At 37.5% G+C, this 19618-nt stretch overlaps 1 protein-coding gene across 5 annotated transcripts in view, besides 1 other annotated feature; it reads right to left on the bottom strand.

Annotated features, from left to right (window-relative positions):
* Window positions 1–19618, bottom strand: part of MAPRE2 (microtubule associated protein RP/EB family member 2) — a 166444-nt gene that overhangs the window by 53486 nt on the left and 93340 nt on the right. The window lies entirely within an intron of this gene.
* Window positions 17956–18025: an enhancer, noted in NCBI's record as "active region_13219". NCBI's record gives its function as "activates an Ori minimal core promoter by ATAC-STARR-seq in GM12878 lymphoblastoid cells {active_cell/tissue: GM12878}" and the evidence as "EXISTENCE:reporter gene assay evidence [ECO:0000049][PMID:35858748]".

Here is a 19618-nt window from a genome sequence, read left to right as displayed (position 1 = left end):
TGTTCCATGTATCAGAACTTCATTTTTTTTCTTTACAGCAAATAATATTCCATTTTATGAATTACCACATTTTACTGATCCATTCATTAATGAACATCTAGATTGCTTTTATGTTTGGACTATTTTGAGTAATGATGCTACAAACAGTTGTGTACAAGTTTTTTCATGGACATGTTTTCAATTCTCTTGGCAGTATACCTAGGATTGGAATTGCTGGGTCATGTGGTAACTCTGTTTAACAATTTGAAAAACTATCACACTGTTTTCCAAAGCAGGTGTACTATTTTATATTTCTACCAGCAACAGATGAGGGCTCCACATCTTCATCACCACTTGTCTGTCGTTTTGATTCTAACCATCCTAATGGATGTGAAGTGGTATGTCACTGTGGTTTTGCTTTGATTTCCCTATGACTAATGACTTAGAGCATCTTTTCCTTGTGCTTTTTAGGCCATTTGTATGTCTTCTTTGGAGGAATGTCTATGCACATTCTTTGCTTGTTTCTTAAATGGGTTGCTTTTTTATTGTTGAATTGTAAGAATCCTTTCTATATTCTAGATATAATTTCCTTATCAGATATATGATTTGTAAATATTTTCTCCCATTCTGTGGACTGTTTTTTCACTTTCTTGATGGTATCATTTGAAGCAAAAATGTTTTATATTTCAATAAAATCCAATTTAGCTATTCATTCTTTTGTCACTTGTGCTTTTGTTGTTATAACCAAAAACCACTGCATAATCCAAGGTCATGACGATTTATACCTCACGTTCTTTGAGAAACTGCATAGTTCCTATCAAAGTTCAACTCTCTACTTGTGCTCTGGGTCACGTCTCCTCTTACTCACTGAGTCATTCCTGCTGCTATCCTCATTCTCTCCTGCAATGCAAAATTCTTCCTGCATATGTTATTCCTAAATCCTGCAAATATGCTCCAGTATCATTCAACTTTGACAAAATAAAACCAAAGTTTCTTGATCCCACATCATCCTTGAGCTATGTACTATCTCCTCCTCTTCACAGTAAAACTTCAAATGGTCTCTGTTTTCATTGTTTCATCTGACATCCAATTCAATTTAATACAAATTCAATTGTCTTCCAACCTCACCATGTTCTGGTCAAGGTCATCAAAAGCTTCTCTGCTATCAAATCAAACAGTTGTTTTTCTTTCTGCATCCTACTCAACCTCTTAATAGTATTTGGCCTTATTGACCACCTCTTTTGCTCTTGAAATTCTATATTTTCTTCTTTAATCAGATAAAAATAGATGTCAACAAACTGAAATATTCAGGAATCATTGCCAGTGTCCTGGAAGTCTTACCCAGCCACAAATCAGAATGTTCCTCATCAACAGATACACAGACTTTTGTGCCATTTAACTACCCTTGCAATAATGTGAGGTACATTTTGAATAAACACAATTTTATCTCATTATGCCACGGTTACCCTTATTCAGATCACATCCCTCTCCTGCTAAGAATATCACAGTGGTTTTCTATGAAACTATCATAAAATCCAAATTCCTTCCCTGGCTTAAAATACCCTGTTATCAGGCCTCTGTCTATTTCTCCCTTGTCTAACTTCCTTTTAGGAAGCTCCCTTCATGCTGGCTTCCTTGCTGTTCCTAGAACACTTCAGATTTGCTCCTGAATTAGGACCTTTACACAGTTTCATCTAGAACTTCACATGGTGACCTTCTTGACATTCAGATGAAAGCTTATATGTCATCTCCTCAGAGAGGTCCTCCCTTACTATGCCACATGAAGTAGCCTTCTAAGCACTCTTTTTCACCTCATCCTGTTTTATTAACTCTTATGTTGGCATTGTATTAACTCTTATGTTGGTGCTATGGTTTGGATATCCCCTCCAAAATGCATGTTGAAATTTATTTGCCATTGTGATGGTAATTAAGAGGTAGGACCACTAAGAGGTAAGCAGTCCATGAGGGTTCAGCCCTCCTGAAATGGATGAATGCCATTCTTGGGAAAGCAATTCGTTATAAAAGGGCAAATTTGGCTCTTGTTCTCTCCCCTATTGTCTCTTGCATTTCTGCCATGGAATGACGCAGCATGAAGACCTTTGCCAGATGCTGGTTCCCTGATCTTGGACTTCTTAGCCTCCAGAAGAGGAAGACAATAAATAACTGTTCATTATAAATTACCCAGTTTGAAGTATTCTGTTATAGCAGCATAAAACAGACTAAGAGAGTTTGTGGCTTATTTTTTCCCTCGCTGCAATATAAGTTTCAAGAATACTTGTGCCTTATTTGTCTTGGTCCCCTATGTATCTAAACATTTAATACAGTACCTGGCATAAGTGGGTTTCAATAAATATCTGGCTAATGAATGAAGATCTGCATAGCAGTTGAACCACAACAAGGGCTGGTAAACAGTAAAATTCTTATGTTGCCAAACTCCCCAAAGAGATATTATGAGAAGAGTTGCTAAAAATTCTTTTAAGAATTGACGAGGTATAAATAAAATTTTTTAAAGCCACTCAAATATAAGAATGACCCTAGAGACCAAGTCTGCAGAAAAGTAAAAGATAAGCTTTAAAAGCTAAGCATAGGGTAACACATTCAAGTAACACAACCCAAATTGTAGGATGCTGTGCCTACTAAGAGGTTAATTATGATGGGATATACTCTGAGCCCATAAGCTCAAGGTGCTGCTGCAATTGTGAAGGTCTACAAGATTCTGAAATGATCTGGAAATAAGTAGGGGGGAAAAAACTATTCTTTCTACACTGTCTGTACCCCTGCAGCCCTAAGATTGGTTTCAGTTGTTATACATCAAAATTGACATAATGAAGCTGACAAGTGTGAGGACAGGAATAAAAAATGAACAGCTGGGAGGCTGTATGAAGATGGCAGAGCTCAAAAATGAACATTCATACTCAAAGGATTCAGGAGTGTATGATTTAAGTCTATAAAATCATGAAAAGCCTAAGACAATTTCATTTTCACCAGATCCCAGGATTTCAACCATAGAGTAATATCAGAATAAATGGACATTTTTAAAGTGGAAATTTTCAGATAAAAGGAAATATTACTCTAATAACAAATTTATGGAATATATTACGCAAGAAACATAAGACATAAAAACACCCACATTTGGGTAAAATCTGTTAGCGTTTTCATATGTATTTTAAACATTCTGAATCCCATAGTATCCTTAAGAGGTAAGTATTTTTATTATCATTCCCATATTTTACAGGTATGGGAACAAGGCTCAGAAAGTCACCCAGCTAAGAAATTGCAGAGTGGAATTTAAACTCTGATCTGAACTTCAATTTTTTTTTTTTAAGAAAAACATTCCTTTTTTCTATGCTGCTTTTAGGAAATTATATGTAAAAATTGAAAGGTTCAAAGAGTGTTTGGAAATTTTTATAGATTAAGTTTTAGAAATTTTTATAGATTTTTATAGATAATTCTAAAAGGAAATATAAAGGAAAATGCAAGAGAACATATAAATCGTTTGGACTGGTGTTAGAAGTATCAGCTATACCTTTTCTATTTATAGTAGAATCTTGGGCTTGATAGATCATTAATCTGCTCCAATGTCATGACTTTCCATTTCAGTATATATACACTCATAAGAATTTCATTTTACATATATACAATGTGTATATAAAAATAAACATCATCTCTATATATAATCTTATTGATCGCCCATATATATGAGATACATATCTATATATGTATCTCATATATACATGTATATATATATCTTATTGGTGTCAAAAAAAGTCTCACAGCACTTTTCCAGAAATGCAACACAATCTGTGGAAAAACACATCAAGCCAGATTGGGTTCTGCCACAAACAGCTACTCAAATTGCCCATCTGATTTCCTCACAGGCCAAGGAACTATTATACAGAGATGCCTATATCACTGAGGGATTTAGTTACAACTTTTCACTTTCCATAATCTTATTTGGTACTGATGAAAGGTTAGAAGAAAAGCACAACAACCTCAATTAATTGGACACATCCATGTGATCATACTCTTCATGATGTGAATCATTACAGGTAAATGATTTGTAAAAAAGCTTATTATCTCAAGCTAGTATCAACAAAGAATGGGAAGGCAGGAAACAGAAAACTATGTTGGCCTTTGGATCTGAGCCTTCTCATCTTGAATGAACAGTGACATGTCGTCACACTCTGCTAAGCCAACAGTATTCTTATGTGCAAAACGTCAGTGTTGGACTGATCTCTGGTCTCTAAAATTAGATGATTTTCTAATTCTCAGTCTGTCACCAAGTTCTCTTTTAAGGGATACTTGATATTTCTGCTAATTAGGAGACAATGATGCTCATCTTCATATGACCAAGATGTTTGCCAGTGCTCTTGCTTCTAGCCATCACTGGCTTTTGTCATAGTTAATATAAGAGGAGACTTACTAATAACACTGCTGCCTCTGGTGGAATATTCCTGGGGGCACACACACCCTTTCCAGATTCAGTTCTGGTGACCCTATCTTCCATGTACTTCTCTTTGAGATCTTGACATTAACAAACTCAGTAACATAGCCATATTTTCTATCCAGTAGTTGAATATTAGCAATGAAAAATCTCCTTCATATTAGATTGTTCATACGCAATAATCATAAAGTCATCCCAGCTTTATTTTGGCATTCAGCTCATCATTCCTTGAACTGATGTTCCTGCAGAACTGCAACTATTACCTAAGCCCAAACCTCGTGTTGAAGGAAGCATTCCCCTTTGGGAAATCAGGGCTTTACTAAAGAGGAAAGTGAGGCTGCAAAATACAAGGTTACATATTTCCAGCACATCAGCAGAAATCTCTCTACCTACAGAAATACATGCTGTAAGGAGTTTAATGGCAATTGTGAAATAATGCTTTGAAATATTAACATTTTAAAGGAATTTAAAATCCCAAAGTTCAACTGTATCATTCTAATCTAACAAAAATCTGATTAAATTAGTAGTAGCTTTTTGTTGTTTTCATAGGCATCCTTCACATTCCTGGCATGGAGGAGCAGCTTGAAAGCTTCAGTTACCACAGTATTATTTCAGTCTGTTAAGGGGAACTTTGGACACTGTTTACCTTACCTGCCCCGAGCCACAAATGCCAAAATAAAGATCAAGAGTTCAGAAATCCGGTTTCAACTGAGATTGCTCCCTTGAATTCCCATGGTCCTCAGCTGAGCTTCCTGCTTCTCTCCACTACCTGACATTGTCAGAAGCTTTTTATTCCTATTGTAAATAAGTCCAAAGACAAGTAGCTTTCAAACTGATCCCATGTAGAGGAAAAGGAGTAATAGCCAGCAGGAAGATTTCAACTCCTACAGACACAGAGGCGGCTTATGTGAACTGAAGAGAGTGCTGAAAAGCACCCCATCTTTTCCCTTGAACACACAGAATAAACTGTTGAAGGACATTTTCATCTCTTTTCTTGTACAGGAAAAGAAATAAGCTAGTAATAATCATTCAGGCAGAGAGGCAGATTTTTAAGAGCATCAGCAGATTAATTAAAAGGCCTTGTCAAATCATGTGATTGGTCTTTTATCTGATAAATGCCCTCAGTTTTTCATTAATTCATATGATCTTAAAACCTTTTTAAGAATCTTATAGGCCTGCACCAAACTGCAGTTAAAGGTGCCAGTATCCTCTGTTTATAACCTGCTTTCAACAAGAACCAAGAATACTTTTTTAAAAAGTAATGTTATTTTATTTATTATTTTTTTTTGAGATGGAGTCTCACTCTGTCACCCAGGCTGGAGTGCAGTGGCACAATCTTGCCTCACTGCAACCTCCACCTCCCAGATTCAAGTGATTCTCCTGCCTCAGCCTCCCAAGTAGCTGGGATTACAGGTGTGTGCCACCACACCGGACTAATTTTTGTATTTTTAGTAGAGACAGGGTTTCACCAAAAAGTAATGTAATGTTTAAATCTGAATTTATTAAGAAGCCTGCAGAACTACATTAAATGTTAGGCCTGCTGTAGAGAAAATTGATCAGATATTAATATTACTGTAACAAATTGATTTTAAAAGTGCTTCTTCATAGAAACATCATGGAAGAATAAAGAGTATTTTCTACTATCTTTCAAAAGGAAATTTCAATGGAGTAAAAACCTATATAACAAATAGCCCTTGATTAAGATTTAGGTATCAACATTTTTATTAAAAAGTAAATTTTAGAAAATAGAGATTTTACTGGCAAGTAAAATATCTCATTGGTTTCAGATTTCTTTTCGTCTGCTGATTAATGGTGCAGTGGCCAGCGCTCAGTTTCATGCCTAGATTCTAACACCAGTGATTTCTTGTAGGATAATGTGCTCATCAAATTTTACCAAAATAAGGTGTCTGACTTGGTAAAATATGATTTGGCTTCTCCAGAGGAGCCAAGAAGGAAGAAGTAGGAGAGGCACTGGGAGCACAGGGCAGGAATGGTGTGCAGGACAAAATGTCACTGGCTTCCAGGGAGGCTGATACTGAAACTGGCAGTGCGATGTCTCACAGGCTAGAGTCTGAGAGTGGAGCTAAAGTTAGAATTTGACATTCCAGATAGAGGAGCAAAGGGGACATAAAAAGCTTTTACTACAAATGAAAAACAAGTTCGAAAGTTACATATGAAACCCATTCTGAAGAAGTCAGTTTTCTCATTAGGGTCATGAAAATAGAAAGTTTCATAAAGCTCTAATATCATGGGATATAGCTTCTCCACATGTGCACTCACGTATTCTCACACACTTGTATTACCCTTCTACTTTAATGGACAAAAAGGTGCTTTATTTTTTAAAGGATTGATTAAATATGTAAGGTCAAATTTAAGGTAAGACTTAAATTTAAGGTAAGACTTAAGAAGAGCTTGAGTAGAAGGTAAGAATCTGAAAAGATATGAGATCTTATCTAATTTTTGTAGTCATAGGTCACCTCTAAAGAAATGCCCATCTGTAGGTGGCATGGAGAGATGTCACTTTGTTTATTTAGCAATGTTAAACAAACCAGCAAATACTTATTGAGGAATATGACCTTAGTCTTAATAAGAACCAAGTAACTTAGTCTTGAGAGTCTGGAGAAATACACATGGAAAAACAGCAAAAATACAAAACAACTATAAGTGCTAAACTGTATGGCCTAGATACATAAATATTAGTAATATTTATAAATATAGATACATAAATATTAGTTCCATACAGTTAGTTCAAAGTCTGCCCAATAAAAAAACAACAAAGAGTAATCAGTATTATCAAACACATAAAATCAAGCCAAACTTGCATGATCATTTCAGTCCCCAAGGAGCTTAACTCCGAATGCTGAAGACTTAAAACAAGTACTCAATGAGCGTAAGGCTTTGTAAAGGTCTGATCATTGAAAAGAGAGAGAGAGCTCACATTTTGTTGAATGTGATCAGGAAGAATAGGGCAAAGTGGCATTTGATATGAATTTCAAAGGAGATACTCCAAGCAAAGACAAGGAATCAGGGCATATAAGTGAAACGTGCGTTTGAGGAAATACAGGTTATGGGTAGGGAGGCTGTGGGGATAAATGTTGGAAAGGTGGAATGCAGCTAGATTGCTCAAGGCTTTAAATGCCAGGAAAAGAAGAAGCTTAACTAATTTGGTAGGCAAACCAATGCTGATTTCTGGGCACAAACGTCTTTAGAGAATGCCATTTTTAAGTTCTAATTTTCAGAACGTATGTATTTTTTTTTTTTTTTTTTTTTTTGAGACGGAGTCTCGCTCTGTCGCCCAGGCTGGAGTGCAGTGGCGCAATCTCGGCTCACTGCAAGCTCCGCCTCCCGGGTTCACGCCATTCTCCTGCCTCAGCCTCCCAAGTAGCTGGGACTACAGGCGCCCGCCACTACGCCCGGCTAATTTTTTGTATTTTTAGTAGAGACGGGGTTTCACCGTTTTAGCCGGGATGGTCTCGATCTCCTGACCTCGTGATCCGCCCGCCTCGGCCTCCCAAAGTGCTGGGATTACAGGCGTGAGCCACCGCGCCCGGCCCAGAACGTATGTATTTTTAGGTCAAATTAAATTGCAAGTAAGAAACCTAAAGCTGATCCCTTTCCCCATTTTCTCAGAGAATTTCTACTGAACCATTACCCACATCATACTATCAACAGTTATACAGGCCAGGCCACTACATGAACTCTATGTATGGCAGCCCACAGAGAGGCTTTTAGTATAAGGTAAAATATACTGGTATGAGTGGACCAGCGCAAACCCACGGTCCACGTCTACACAATGCGCCCCTTTCTCAAGTTGCTCATTTTGAGGCTGAGGTCACTATCCCTGGCACTAGAGACTAGAAGCTCCAGGATTCTTCCCCAGATTTCAGCCATTTCACCCTCTCCCCAAGACTTGCAGGTGAGAACTCCATACTTATGGCCACTCTCCCCAGTCCAGTCCTCTAGCTTTCATCTACACCAATAACATCCCCTATTACCACTTTCCAGAGGAGGATGCTCCTTCCCCGGCAGCTCCCTGAAAAGAGTCCCGTCCAGAGAAAGCCCAGAAGGCCAGGTGTGGCACCAAAGGAAGCCTCCAGCAATTACAGACAGAGAGGAACTCACATTCAGGCACCACATAACATTCGTGCAGACTGTGATACTAACAGAATATTGTTCTTTATGAGTTGCTTTCTTTATATTTCCCAGGTTAATCCCAAAATATACTTTGCTTTCTAGGTACACTCTAGTATCAGAAGGATCCCAAATCAGTTTGAAGAATGCACAGTATTTACTTCAGGGATTCAATCATATGACCACAGTAGAAATAAAAGAATGGAATAATTTTTGGAAAAAAAAAGAAGCAGGAAAAGATTTCTGTGAGGTTTTTAAATAGTAGATTTTAACACAATTCTGCGCAATTTTAAAGTTGATGTACATCTTTTCATTAAAATTTGGCTCCTTCTACACTTTTGTAAAGTTCTTCCATGAGCTGTCATACAAATGTAATCTAGAAGAAATGAAAATGGAGAACGATCCTCCTCATGCAGAATGCGAAGAGAAACTGCAGGAAACAGGACTCGCATTAGTTTCACATTTATATGCTTCTCATGTCAAATAATTTGGTCATAAAAAGCTTATGAGTATTAATATTTGGGTAAGAACACACCCTTGGGAGGGAGGGGACAAACACAGGTAATTTGCTATTTGTCAGAATTACGTAATGGTTTCAGGGTGGGAAAAAAAAAAACGCAATCTGAAAAATGATGGTGTCTTTACGAGTTGCCAAGCAATTTCATTATTCTGTTTCCAGGTATGCAATTCTAACATGCCCAAACATTTGACAGTGATTTCTGACACTCCTTTTTAATAGTGTCTACATGTCTGATAAACTAGAAATTTAAAAACACAATTCAGAAAAAAATTGGTTAGGAAAAATGTTTTCTTTTGAAGAGCAGAAGAATTTGGAGATGTTTGGCTTGATTATCTTAACTGTGTAGAAACCAGATGCCTGCTAATATTTCAGATGTTTCCATGTACAGACTGCCCATTAGTGCCCTACACTGAATGATGGCAAGACAGGCTGGACGTGTACCTTTCTCCAGGGGCCTTTCTCTGCCTTTGCTTCATACTCAGGTAAGCTGAGAAAAAGGAATTTGCTCTCTCTGAATAGACCTGTCAGGGAGAACTTTGGTAGTAAAGGGATAGGTCCTAACTGGATATGATCTGTGTTGTGTTTTGTATAGTGGTGTATCCTCCAATCCTAATCCACCACCTGACACATTGCAGGTACTCAATAAATATCTGCTGACTGCAGGAATAAATAAAGCAATGTGTAGAATATCAAAATGATATCTAAATGGTAACTTTCCTCAAAATCACCATCTTCTTCTCCGTCTGAATCCTATCCATATTAAAATCCTAGTTTGAATAGCATTTCAATTCAATTCAACTTCATAAATATTTATTGACCATCCACTAAATTTGAATGACTGTTTGGCCAAAGACCCAAACAAGGGTAAGACAAAAAGCTTTTCTAGATGGAAATAATCTTTCCTTTCTTTGAATACAGCACTTATTACTTGAAGTATTACTGTCCCTCTTTCGCTGCCTTGAATTTTAATGTTACAGATGTCTTACACATGCAATGTACATGCACAAAACACTGCAACTTCTTTTTGCCTTGATCAAACTTTTTGTCTAAAATGTCCTTTCGTCCTCTTTTATACTTGAATAACTTCTCATTCTTAAAAGCTTAGTCAAAACATCACCTCCTCTACGAAGCTTTCCTGTTTCCAACACAAAATTGTTTCACTATACTGGATACAGAAATCTAACAGGGATTTGACTTACATTTTAATTAGTTCTCTCTCCTGGCTGACTGGTGAGTAAATCTTTAAGACTGGGGATGATGTTCAATTCATCTTTCTACTTCACTAGCACAGTGTCTGCTACCATACCCACTGGCAGATCTAGAATGGCTATATGGAAAAAGTTCAGGAGCTGCAATCTGGCTGGAGTTGGGAAACCAGACATGGGAATGAAGGGATAGAGCTGGATGGGAAATCGGTGTCTACTCTTAAATGTTGCATTAGTAAGTCCTTTTACGTAAGACTAAGAAACCATCAACTTTTCATATTAAAGAAGGGGTTGGAGAAGTACTGATGGAGCCTCTTAGCATGGCTACTGCAATACAGGTTTATTGAACTGGATTAAATACATGGAAAACAGTGATAACTTGATAAGTAAATCCTTTGTGGGAACCAAGCTTGTAAGAAAATTATCCTAGGAGATGTTGTAATTTCCTCAATAGCATAGAAAGGAGGAAATAAGGATGTGTAGTTCTCTCAGGTACAAGCTTGTTCAAAAGCTAGCCTGGGATAAAAATAAGAAAAGGACCATATTCTTGGGATTCAAATGTAGACAGTGCAGAGACATGCACATGCAAATGTCTAAGGAGGCATCATCCTGGTTGTTGTTTCACTGGCCAAGAATTATCCTGAGAGAGCTGCAAAGTTCCTCCATGGCAGGTGGCAAAATTTCAGAGCCACCTCATCTTGCTTGGAGGGAAAGAAGTTAGAGGAAGAAAAGGAACAAGGAGAACAATCAGAGAGAACAGGCGGCTCTTTCCCCACTCTACTTGCAGCAGGTGGAGAAGGAAGAACTTCATAAGACTAGGAGCAAATGTCTCTGTCTCGTTACTTTTGGTAAGAAAGTTCTTGATGATGATACCATTGGGACACACCCTTGTCATTAGTAGAATTACCAGATATGTCTCATTTCTTCAAGTAGAATGTAAAGGATGGAGATAAAGACTTTCTTTCTTTTCTTAGAGGAGATGCTTAAAGGACTTCTGCTAAATGGATATGGAAAGAATCAGAAACACATCCACATGGGCAAACACACAGTGAACCCTTCGTTGCATCCACAGCTGCCACACATACAGCAATGAGAGTACTGGGCTATGATCCAAGGACACCTCAATTCTCATTATCAGCTGTGAACATGGCTTCTTGGAGCTTTTAGCCTCATAAAATAGGAATAAAATATTCCTATTCTTCCTCATGGGGTTGTTATATGAATTAAAAGAAATAATACATATAAAAACACACTGAAAATGGCAGAGAGAGAGAAATAAAAGCTGAGGCATTATGACATCATTATACCCCTAATGTATAAAACTATATAGTATGTAACCGGTTAAGATAATCAGAGCTATAAAAATGAATGGGCTTGAATTGGACTGTTTCAGATGCAAAACATGAATCTCCAAAATGCATGTTTTAGATTCAAAGGACAAGGAACCAAAGAATAAAATGAGGTCCTTGGCTTCCTACCAGACAAGAAAGGGTATGAACACATTTCTAAGATCCTCCAGTTCATCTGTGGAAAAACATTTGAGGGTTTCTGTAATTCTTAAGTCTTTCCTCAGATAAACATATGAGGTGCTTAAGTAATCATAAATTCATTTATAAAAGGAAATGACTATTTTTCCCCAAATTTACACTCTTCCTGTTAAAGTCTTTAGATAATCTAAACTGAAAGGGAGAAAAGAAAAAGAAAAAGTATCATGGTAAATACAAAATAGTGTTTTATAAGGAACATATCCATCATATAAAGTGATTGACATGTTTTTAAAAATTCAAAATAACTTTCAATATGTTGAAAGATAAATCTTTTTCTTGTTAAGATACTGGTTTTTATTGATCTTGGTGAATGATTTCAAAATAAGCATATCATTATGTACTTTAAAAGAAAGCAACTTATCATATAACAGAGACAAAATCAGAAGAGAAATGGCTCTAAAGGTTTCTGTAATTAGAATTATGAATTATAAATGAGTCTTAAAACCTGTCATGTCCTTGGACTCCAGCAAGTTTTCTCACAACCTTTGTCAAGATCCCTGGGGCTATGGAGTTAGGGCTCCAGTCACTGAAGTTAATGAAATCAATGATGAGGCTTTAGAGACTCCTTAGTACTATGTTCAGTATCACTCTCATTAACTGTATCCAACTTAGATTTCTTTTGATGACCCATCCCTTGGTACAACAGTTTTCATCTCTAGGCTCACAACCACCCACCTATTCATGGCTTGGGGGCAGGTAAATCTCAGCAGGGTCTTACTATAGTAGGGTAGATACAATAGCATTTGTGAATTAGTGATATACTCAATAAGAACCTCAAAGACTGCACTCAACTATGACATCTGGGAATTTCTCACATATGGGGAAAAAAATATGAGATTCCCACTAATGGTACTGCTTTGTACCAATTGTGTGTGTGTGTGTGTGTATGTGTGTGTGTGTGTGTGTGTGCGCGCGCGCACGCGCGCGTATCTGTGAGAGAGAGAGAGAGAACTTATTGAGACTTCTCAAAGGCAATTATTAATCCTGTTTCTAATATGTCACTGATTCACTTATTCCTGTTAAGGCACTATATAAAGTTAACTGTGATCACATGTTCCTTGATTTTTTGTTCAGTATATATATTGTTAGTCTTCAATAAAACAATGGCATTCCAGGTGATCTATTTTTCCCTAAGCCTGTTTTTCTAATTTCCCCTTATTTATGGTGTTCGTCACTAACCAGGAGAGACTCCAGCAGAAATGGGTAATAGGATGTAGGGATATATCTGTAGGTCTGTTCCTGTGATAAATACTAATGCAGTCACATGACATCTACCCAGTTAGAGACCCAAGCAGTTATCACTGAGGTTTGGCTTTAGTATTTAAAAGTATCTGGTGCATTCCTCCCAAAGAAGTGGCCAATTCTATGGTTTCCTGAGAATATCCCACACGCATGCCTAGTTCCTTCAAACAAGTAGAGTAATAACAATTCTCACATACTCATGTGATGAGATCATCAAGAAAATCCTTTATATTTCTTTAGAGATGACAATATGCTTCATGTACTTAAGGGCTGTACCCACTAAAGCACATGCATTTTACTGACTAGAGTCCCTGTGTCATAAGACAAAGGCCCCCCTAGCCTGGGGAGTCTGTCAGGGTAAATGAAACTAAGTACCCCACACATTATCCTACATACACACTTGTCACTCCATCTGACTTAAGAGGGAGGGGGACATTTCTGAGGTGTTTCCCAAACGATGGCCATTCTTTCATCCAGAAGCACCCAGCCACTCCCAAAGAATCTGAGTAAATCTCTCTACTGACTCCCTATGTCCCTACCTCCCTTCATTTACTTCCTTCTTTGTATGCTCAAAGCACTTGCAAACCAGCACTTACCACAGTGTGGTCTCTGGTCTTTTGTAGGACAGTACTCTGCTGTACTGAGCTATTTGAGGGCAATGACTATGTTTTATTTATCGCTGGGTCCCCAGGGCCTAGCCCAAAGAAAGGCTCAAAATATGCCTATTAAATAAAACTAAATTGATTATAGAATTGAATGTAGTTAAGGACATAAACGAAGATGTGGCTGGTTGCTTTCAAAGATATATCATCCATATGTGTAAAAAAAATTATAGAGCAGTTTGGTAAATGAAAGTGAATGCATACACACTTTTCACCACCATGGTATTCAGCATTACAAAAGACAGTAAACAAACAAAAAGTCCCAAGAAAAACAGAAACAGCAATTTACGTTCATCTTCGGGAGCAAAGTGTCAAGATGTAAATGAACAAATTTGGAGGGAAAAAAAACCTACTGTATTATCTATCCTGCTCCAAAAATAAACTCCCTTTCAACCAGTGCATTAGTAGAGACACTAGAGTATATTACCATATATTACTGCCTGAAGCAATTGAACATGAGGCTAGACCCCTCCCCACCATTATCCAACTCTTTTTTTTTTGTCCCCTTCTTCTCCAATTAGTTGATATGCTGAGACCATGTAAACTTTTAAAATTAGCATGAGTCAAATAATTAGAGAAAAAAACTGTCAGCAAAAAAACCAAAAAGACTCTATGTAATATATCACAAGTATGAATAATATTCCATTACAATTACCTCCCTAACAATAGTAATATAATCTAAGATGACCTAACTTTCTTACAGCAAATAACAGTCAATGATTTTATAAAGCTAAGTAAACTCTTATGCTTACAGACACTGAAAGAATATCCTTACTTGGTTTCAATACCAGAGAGCCAATAAGAGAAGCCCTACTAAATTTAGACTCTGAGCAGATTTCATCGGTAACCTGTCCTGACAGAGGTCTCTGTGGATGGAAGAGAGGAGGCACAGGGACAACACACGAGGCTGGGATCAACCTATCTAACAGGCACAAATCTGCGGCCAAAAATGGTCACAAAGAACACTCTGCTGGGCTCAGGAATGATGGCCATCAGGGTGGGGCCCGGAGCACCTGCACCACGGGTCCCAGGGCCATCTGATGGCTACACCTGTGTGAATGCCAGAGTGTACTCTAAATACTTGCTCCTTCCACATAGCCATCACGTAACCAGAATTGCAAATGTGACTACAATATCATTAGCCAAATTCAGAAGCTCTCCTGGAAGAACAAAATACCAGTGACTTGATCCAAGACAAAGCTCGCACCAATTTGGGGAAGCACAAATTGAAACTGAATCAAATCCTGATCATTTTCTCTTTCTTTTTTTTAAAGCAAGTCAAGAAAATATCTCAATTTTCCATCTAAAAATGGTTTAATTCAAATGACATTTTATTAAAATACTAAAATGCTCAGGAAAATAACAGCTTTCAGTGACAGACAGTGACAGTCCAGGATATAGTGACAGTCCAGGCAGTGCCAGCCCTACATGCAGACTGTATTTAACATTTGCCCCAAGTCAGGTGTCTGCTCGGCTAGTGGAGGGGTGGGGAGGAGGGAGGCAAGGTGCACAAAGAGAAAAGGGCAGGCTGCACTAGCCTTGTGAGGATGGGAGTCAAGGCAGGCACTCAGTCTGCCAAGCAGCAAGAATGACCCAGCATTGGACCCAGTGATTTTGCTGCTTAGCTCCAGCCTAGGGCAGAGGATCAAGACACAGAAAATTAATGTCACAAAGAAGTCTCAAAGGAGGCTTGAGGTGAGGAGTGAGGGAGAGGAAAAGAAGGAAAATATGTACTTTCAAGGAAAAGATGTACTTTCTCCCACTCCACCCTACTCCTCCCTCCCCATTTCCTTTTCTTCCCCTCTAAGTCCCCTATCTTCTCTATCACCTCCACTAAGGTATCTAAAGTTGCTAAAGCTTTTAGAGATTTTTAGCACCATGCTGTCCATTCACCCTCATTGCTACCTTATAAAAGATTTAGTAAATTAGTTTGAGCTAGTACTAAAGCAAAAAATGAAAAAAAAATTCCCTATCACCCCCCTGCCCAAGCTGTATAACTTTTGAATTAAAATATAAAATATCTATAAGCTGAACCAATCTGATACTACATGTGGTTCAACCTTCTCACTCCACCATGGAAAATCTACAATTATTCATTTCAAAATAGATCTAGGTGAGCAATAGATTGCTGAATTATTATAGGTAGTATTCACATTCATTGATAGCCCACTCTCCATTTATATAGCTCACCTTTTACTTGAAACTTAAAGGTTGTTTGTCACAAGAAATAAATGAAAACCAGATACCCATATAATTACATGACCCAGATTTAATGTTCAAAGAAAATTTTCATGAGGTTATATTCTTGGGATAAAATAACAGGAGATAACAGTGAGTCATTTTCACTGTTTTGCAACTTACTACAAACATATTTCCAAGTGTTCTACTTTCTCACGCCATCTTTCCTTTAAAGAGCTTTTAAAAATGCCTACCTGGAAACAAATTAGATGTTACATAAAGGCAGAAAATACTGAGTAAAACACAACACCAATGTGAGGCAATCTTTTAGCTCTTCACAAATTAAAGAAAAGCTGGTGTTAGTTTTAATACTGAGCTGGAGGGAGATCTCTTAGCTGGAAAATTTTAAAAACAGAAATAGGAAATAATGCAATAGGAAAAAAATTCAAAATGGGAACCACCAGGATTGGAGCGTAAGTCTTCAGGAAAGAGAGTAAGAAATGATGTTGACATTTTAAATCATTTTAAATATGAGAAAGTATTTCCTGTATGTTTTTCCTGGGCATACTGCTAAAATAAAATCCCACACAGTAAACTAAAAAAATTGAAATAAACATTGAAGAAAATATTACATAAGAAATCTGACTACTCATAAGTATGAGGAATATAAGTCACTTAAGTCAACAATACTTGGCTTTGTTCCTATCCTAATAGCACTGTCCTAGCTGCCTTAAATATTTTCTAGAACAATGAAGGGTATAAATAAATAATTTCATAAATAAATAAATAGAAAGATAGCTTCTTCCTGCTAAATGCTAAAGACAAAAGTCACAGATTAAATTATGAACAAGGAAACTTCCAAGGACGTTTGGATAATTTAACCTCATTTTTGTTGGTCTGGGGTAAAATGTACTGCAAGCTCTAGGCTGCAGCACAAAAGTACTTAAACTTGTACTTGTTAAACTCAGATTTCTAGGCTATACTCAGAGGTACCGATTTAGAAGGTCATCTGCTTTTTTTCAGCAGCTCCCCAGGAAATTATAAAAGAATAGAGTCTATAGTTTATACCTTGAGAAAACTGCTACCTAAAATAAAAGACCTGTTTCTCTACTATGGAGATTAACTTCCTTTTTTTTTTCTAGCGAGAAACATATTTCAGAGCAGAAAGGAAACTTTAAATCCACTTCATTCTTCTGAACCATCAATCCTGTAATTTTAGGCAGCCAGTAAGTTATCCTAATGGTAATTATGTGTATCTGTTTGATAGTGATCAAAATTGCTTCTACAGGTTTTTTTGTGTTTTTAAATCAAGCCACGCTTGATGGCAGTGTAGCTACAAAGGCCATAAATGTACACCAATGCTTTAAGATCACCATATATGAATCCTTTACAAATGTCCCTTAAAATTTTGTTGAATTTGCTTTATGAGAAATTTCAAAGATCTGCAAAGATTATGTATATTGCTTATAAATACATTTACTACAGTATCTAAAAATTACAATTTGTTCTTATTTCATTTGCTACCAAAAACTCTCCAAGTGTATTTCAGCATAGGAAGTTCCTCATGGTTTCCTTTAACATTTAAGACTCATGCCTGGGGATTTTCTCTGTGAGCCTTTTCCTTATCCCCTTCCTTCCTATGTCTCTTTTTCTTGATAACCAACCTTGTTTCCCTTATCCAAATGCACATATACCCACTTTGTGGGTAAGATACACATTTTTGTCTTTGCCCCTTAGCAGTTGCAAATTGCAGTTCATTCATCTCCAAAATGAGTATTTCTGAAGGAAAACCATGCATTAGGCATTGTGAAGAAATAGACAATTTCACAATTACAATACAAAGGGGTATGTGTTATCAACAAAGTGATTGCTAATAACAGAAACTGTTTTTGGTTTCTTTTTTGGCAGCAAGTTAAAAATAAAATATTAGCTCAAGAATGCACAGCAAGAACAGCACAGTAATATTTGGGTATGTAGAGATCTGAAGTTGCATAAGCTGCAATACAAGTTGTTTCTGAAAGTAACTTTTAGAGACATTTCAGTAGATCAACAATATACATGCCTGGTACATCATCATCGTAGTCTAAGTCAGCTTTTCTCTATCTTGTATTGAAGGGCAAAGGAGTGGTTAGCTAGCACCCACTACTGACCTCATAAATCACAAGACTTCATGTCTGAGACCTAGGCATAGATTTGTGAGTGAGGCAACGCCTAAGTTCTGGCCAACCTTACTGTCTTCCTCGTGGGAAAAATGATCACAGGGAAAAGGATGTCAATCATACTCAAAGTTAGTGCTCTAGGAGTATTCTGATCAAGTCCAGACCTGGTGAAGGGAGAATATTTACACTGGTGGGTGTTGGACTCAGACAACATCTGAAAGTGACTACTGGGGGCTTTTGAAATTCTAACTGCACTGTATAAAATCTTTATACTTGACCCTCTGGGAAAAAGAGCAATGTTGACTTCTTCCTACCTATTCTGACTCATGAAATTTCACACAAATACATTTCAGTGGTATTTTCTAATACCATTTTCATGTTGAAGCCAAAGGGAAAGAAGAAATCTCTTATCTATTTGTTTACTGGAAGGAAACATTCCCTGTTTCCAAAGGAGGACTGCTTATTTCTTTCATAAATACTCAGACCTAAGAATGAATTAATTTACTAGCAGCATATTTTTTGTTTTGTTTTGTTTTAGAGACAGGGTCTCACTGTGTCACCTAGGCTGTTGGGCAGTGGTACAATCATAGCTCACCACAGCCTCAAACTCCTGGGCTCAAGCGATCCTCCCATTTTGGCCTCCCAAAGTGCTAGGATTACAGGCGTAAGTCACCACACCTGGCCTAGCAGCACGTTTTTTAAAACATCCTCCTATTTTGTCATTGAAGTCAAATATTTTTATTTTTTAAAGAAGTTTAACTCAATATATATTCCTTGCAGACCTACCTCATACCAAGTAGAGGCAACTACAGGCATTCAACAAAGAACAAAACGCAGTCCTGTCCTCAAGGACTCTCAGCACCTTCAGGGCTAGAAGGAGTTAGACATCCTAACACGACGTGGCAAGTGTCATTTTGGAGGATGAGCACAGTGTTTCAGGAACACCACGGAGCCTGCGAGGCTGGGGAATGCTTCCCAGAGCAGGTGGCAGGTGAACCAGATTTTAAAGTATGAGCAAGATTTTCCCACAAATGAAAAGAAGGGGAAAGATCTCAGCAAAGGAACCATGAAAAAAGCTATGGGATACAAAAGGGAAAGAGTCTTTAGGGAACAAAGATTATATTGTGGGTCTGAGGTATAAGGGAGAGAGATGTGGAGGGTGGAATTGAGACTAATAAGGACCTCATTAGTCTATGAAAAGAGTTTGAAGTTTATCCTGTAGTGAGGACAACGTGGAGCCCTAGAGGTTTTAAAGGAGGAGTGTTGTAAGAACCAATTGGTGTTTTCAGGAGGCAAGTGTGATGGCAGATGGGATGACAGAGAAGAGGCTAGGAGCCAGTGAAAGGCATTACGAAGCTCAAGCAAGAGACCTTTCCAATACGTGTCCGTGTGGCTCTGCTTGTGCTCCTGGATGCTCATAAACACTTTTCCCAATACGTCCTTTAGTTATATCTGAGTTTTTCCCCCTTTAATTACATGCCAATAGCAATATATACTTTTTCCTACCCAAAATATAGCAGCTGTGGTTCATAAAATCACATTCCACATGAC

This window comes from Homo sapiens, chromosome 18 (genome assembly GCF_000001405.40).
Source record: "Homo sapiens chromosome 18, GRCh38.p14 Primary Assembly".
Lineage (NCBI taxonomy): Eukaryota > Metazoa > Chordata > Mammalia > Primates > Hominidae > Homo > Homo sapiens.
Note: the sequence above shows the minus strand (reverse complement) of the source record. Positions and strands in the feature narration are given on the sequence as shown.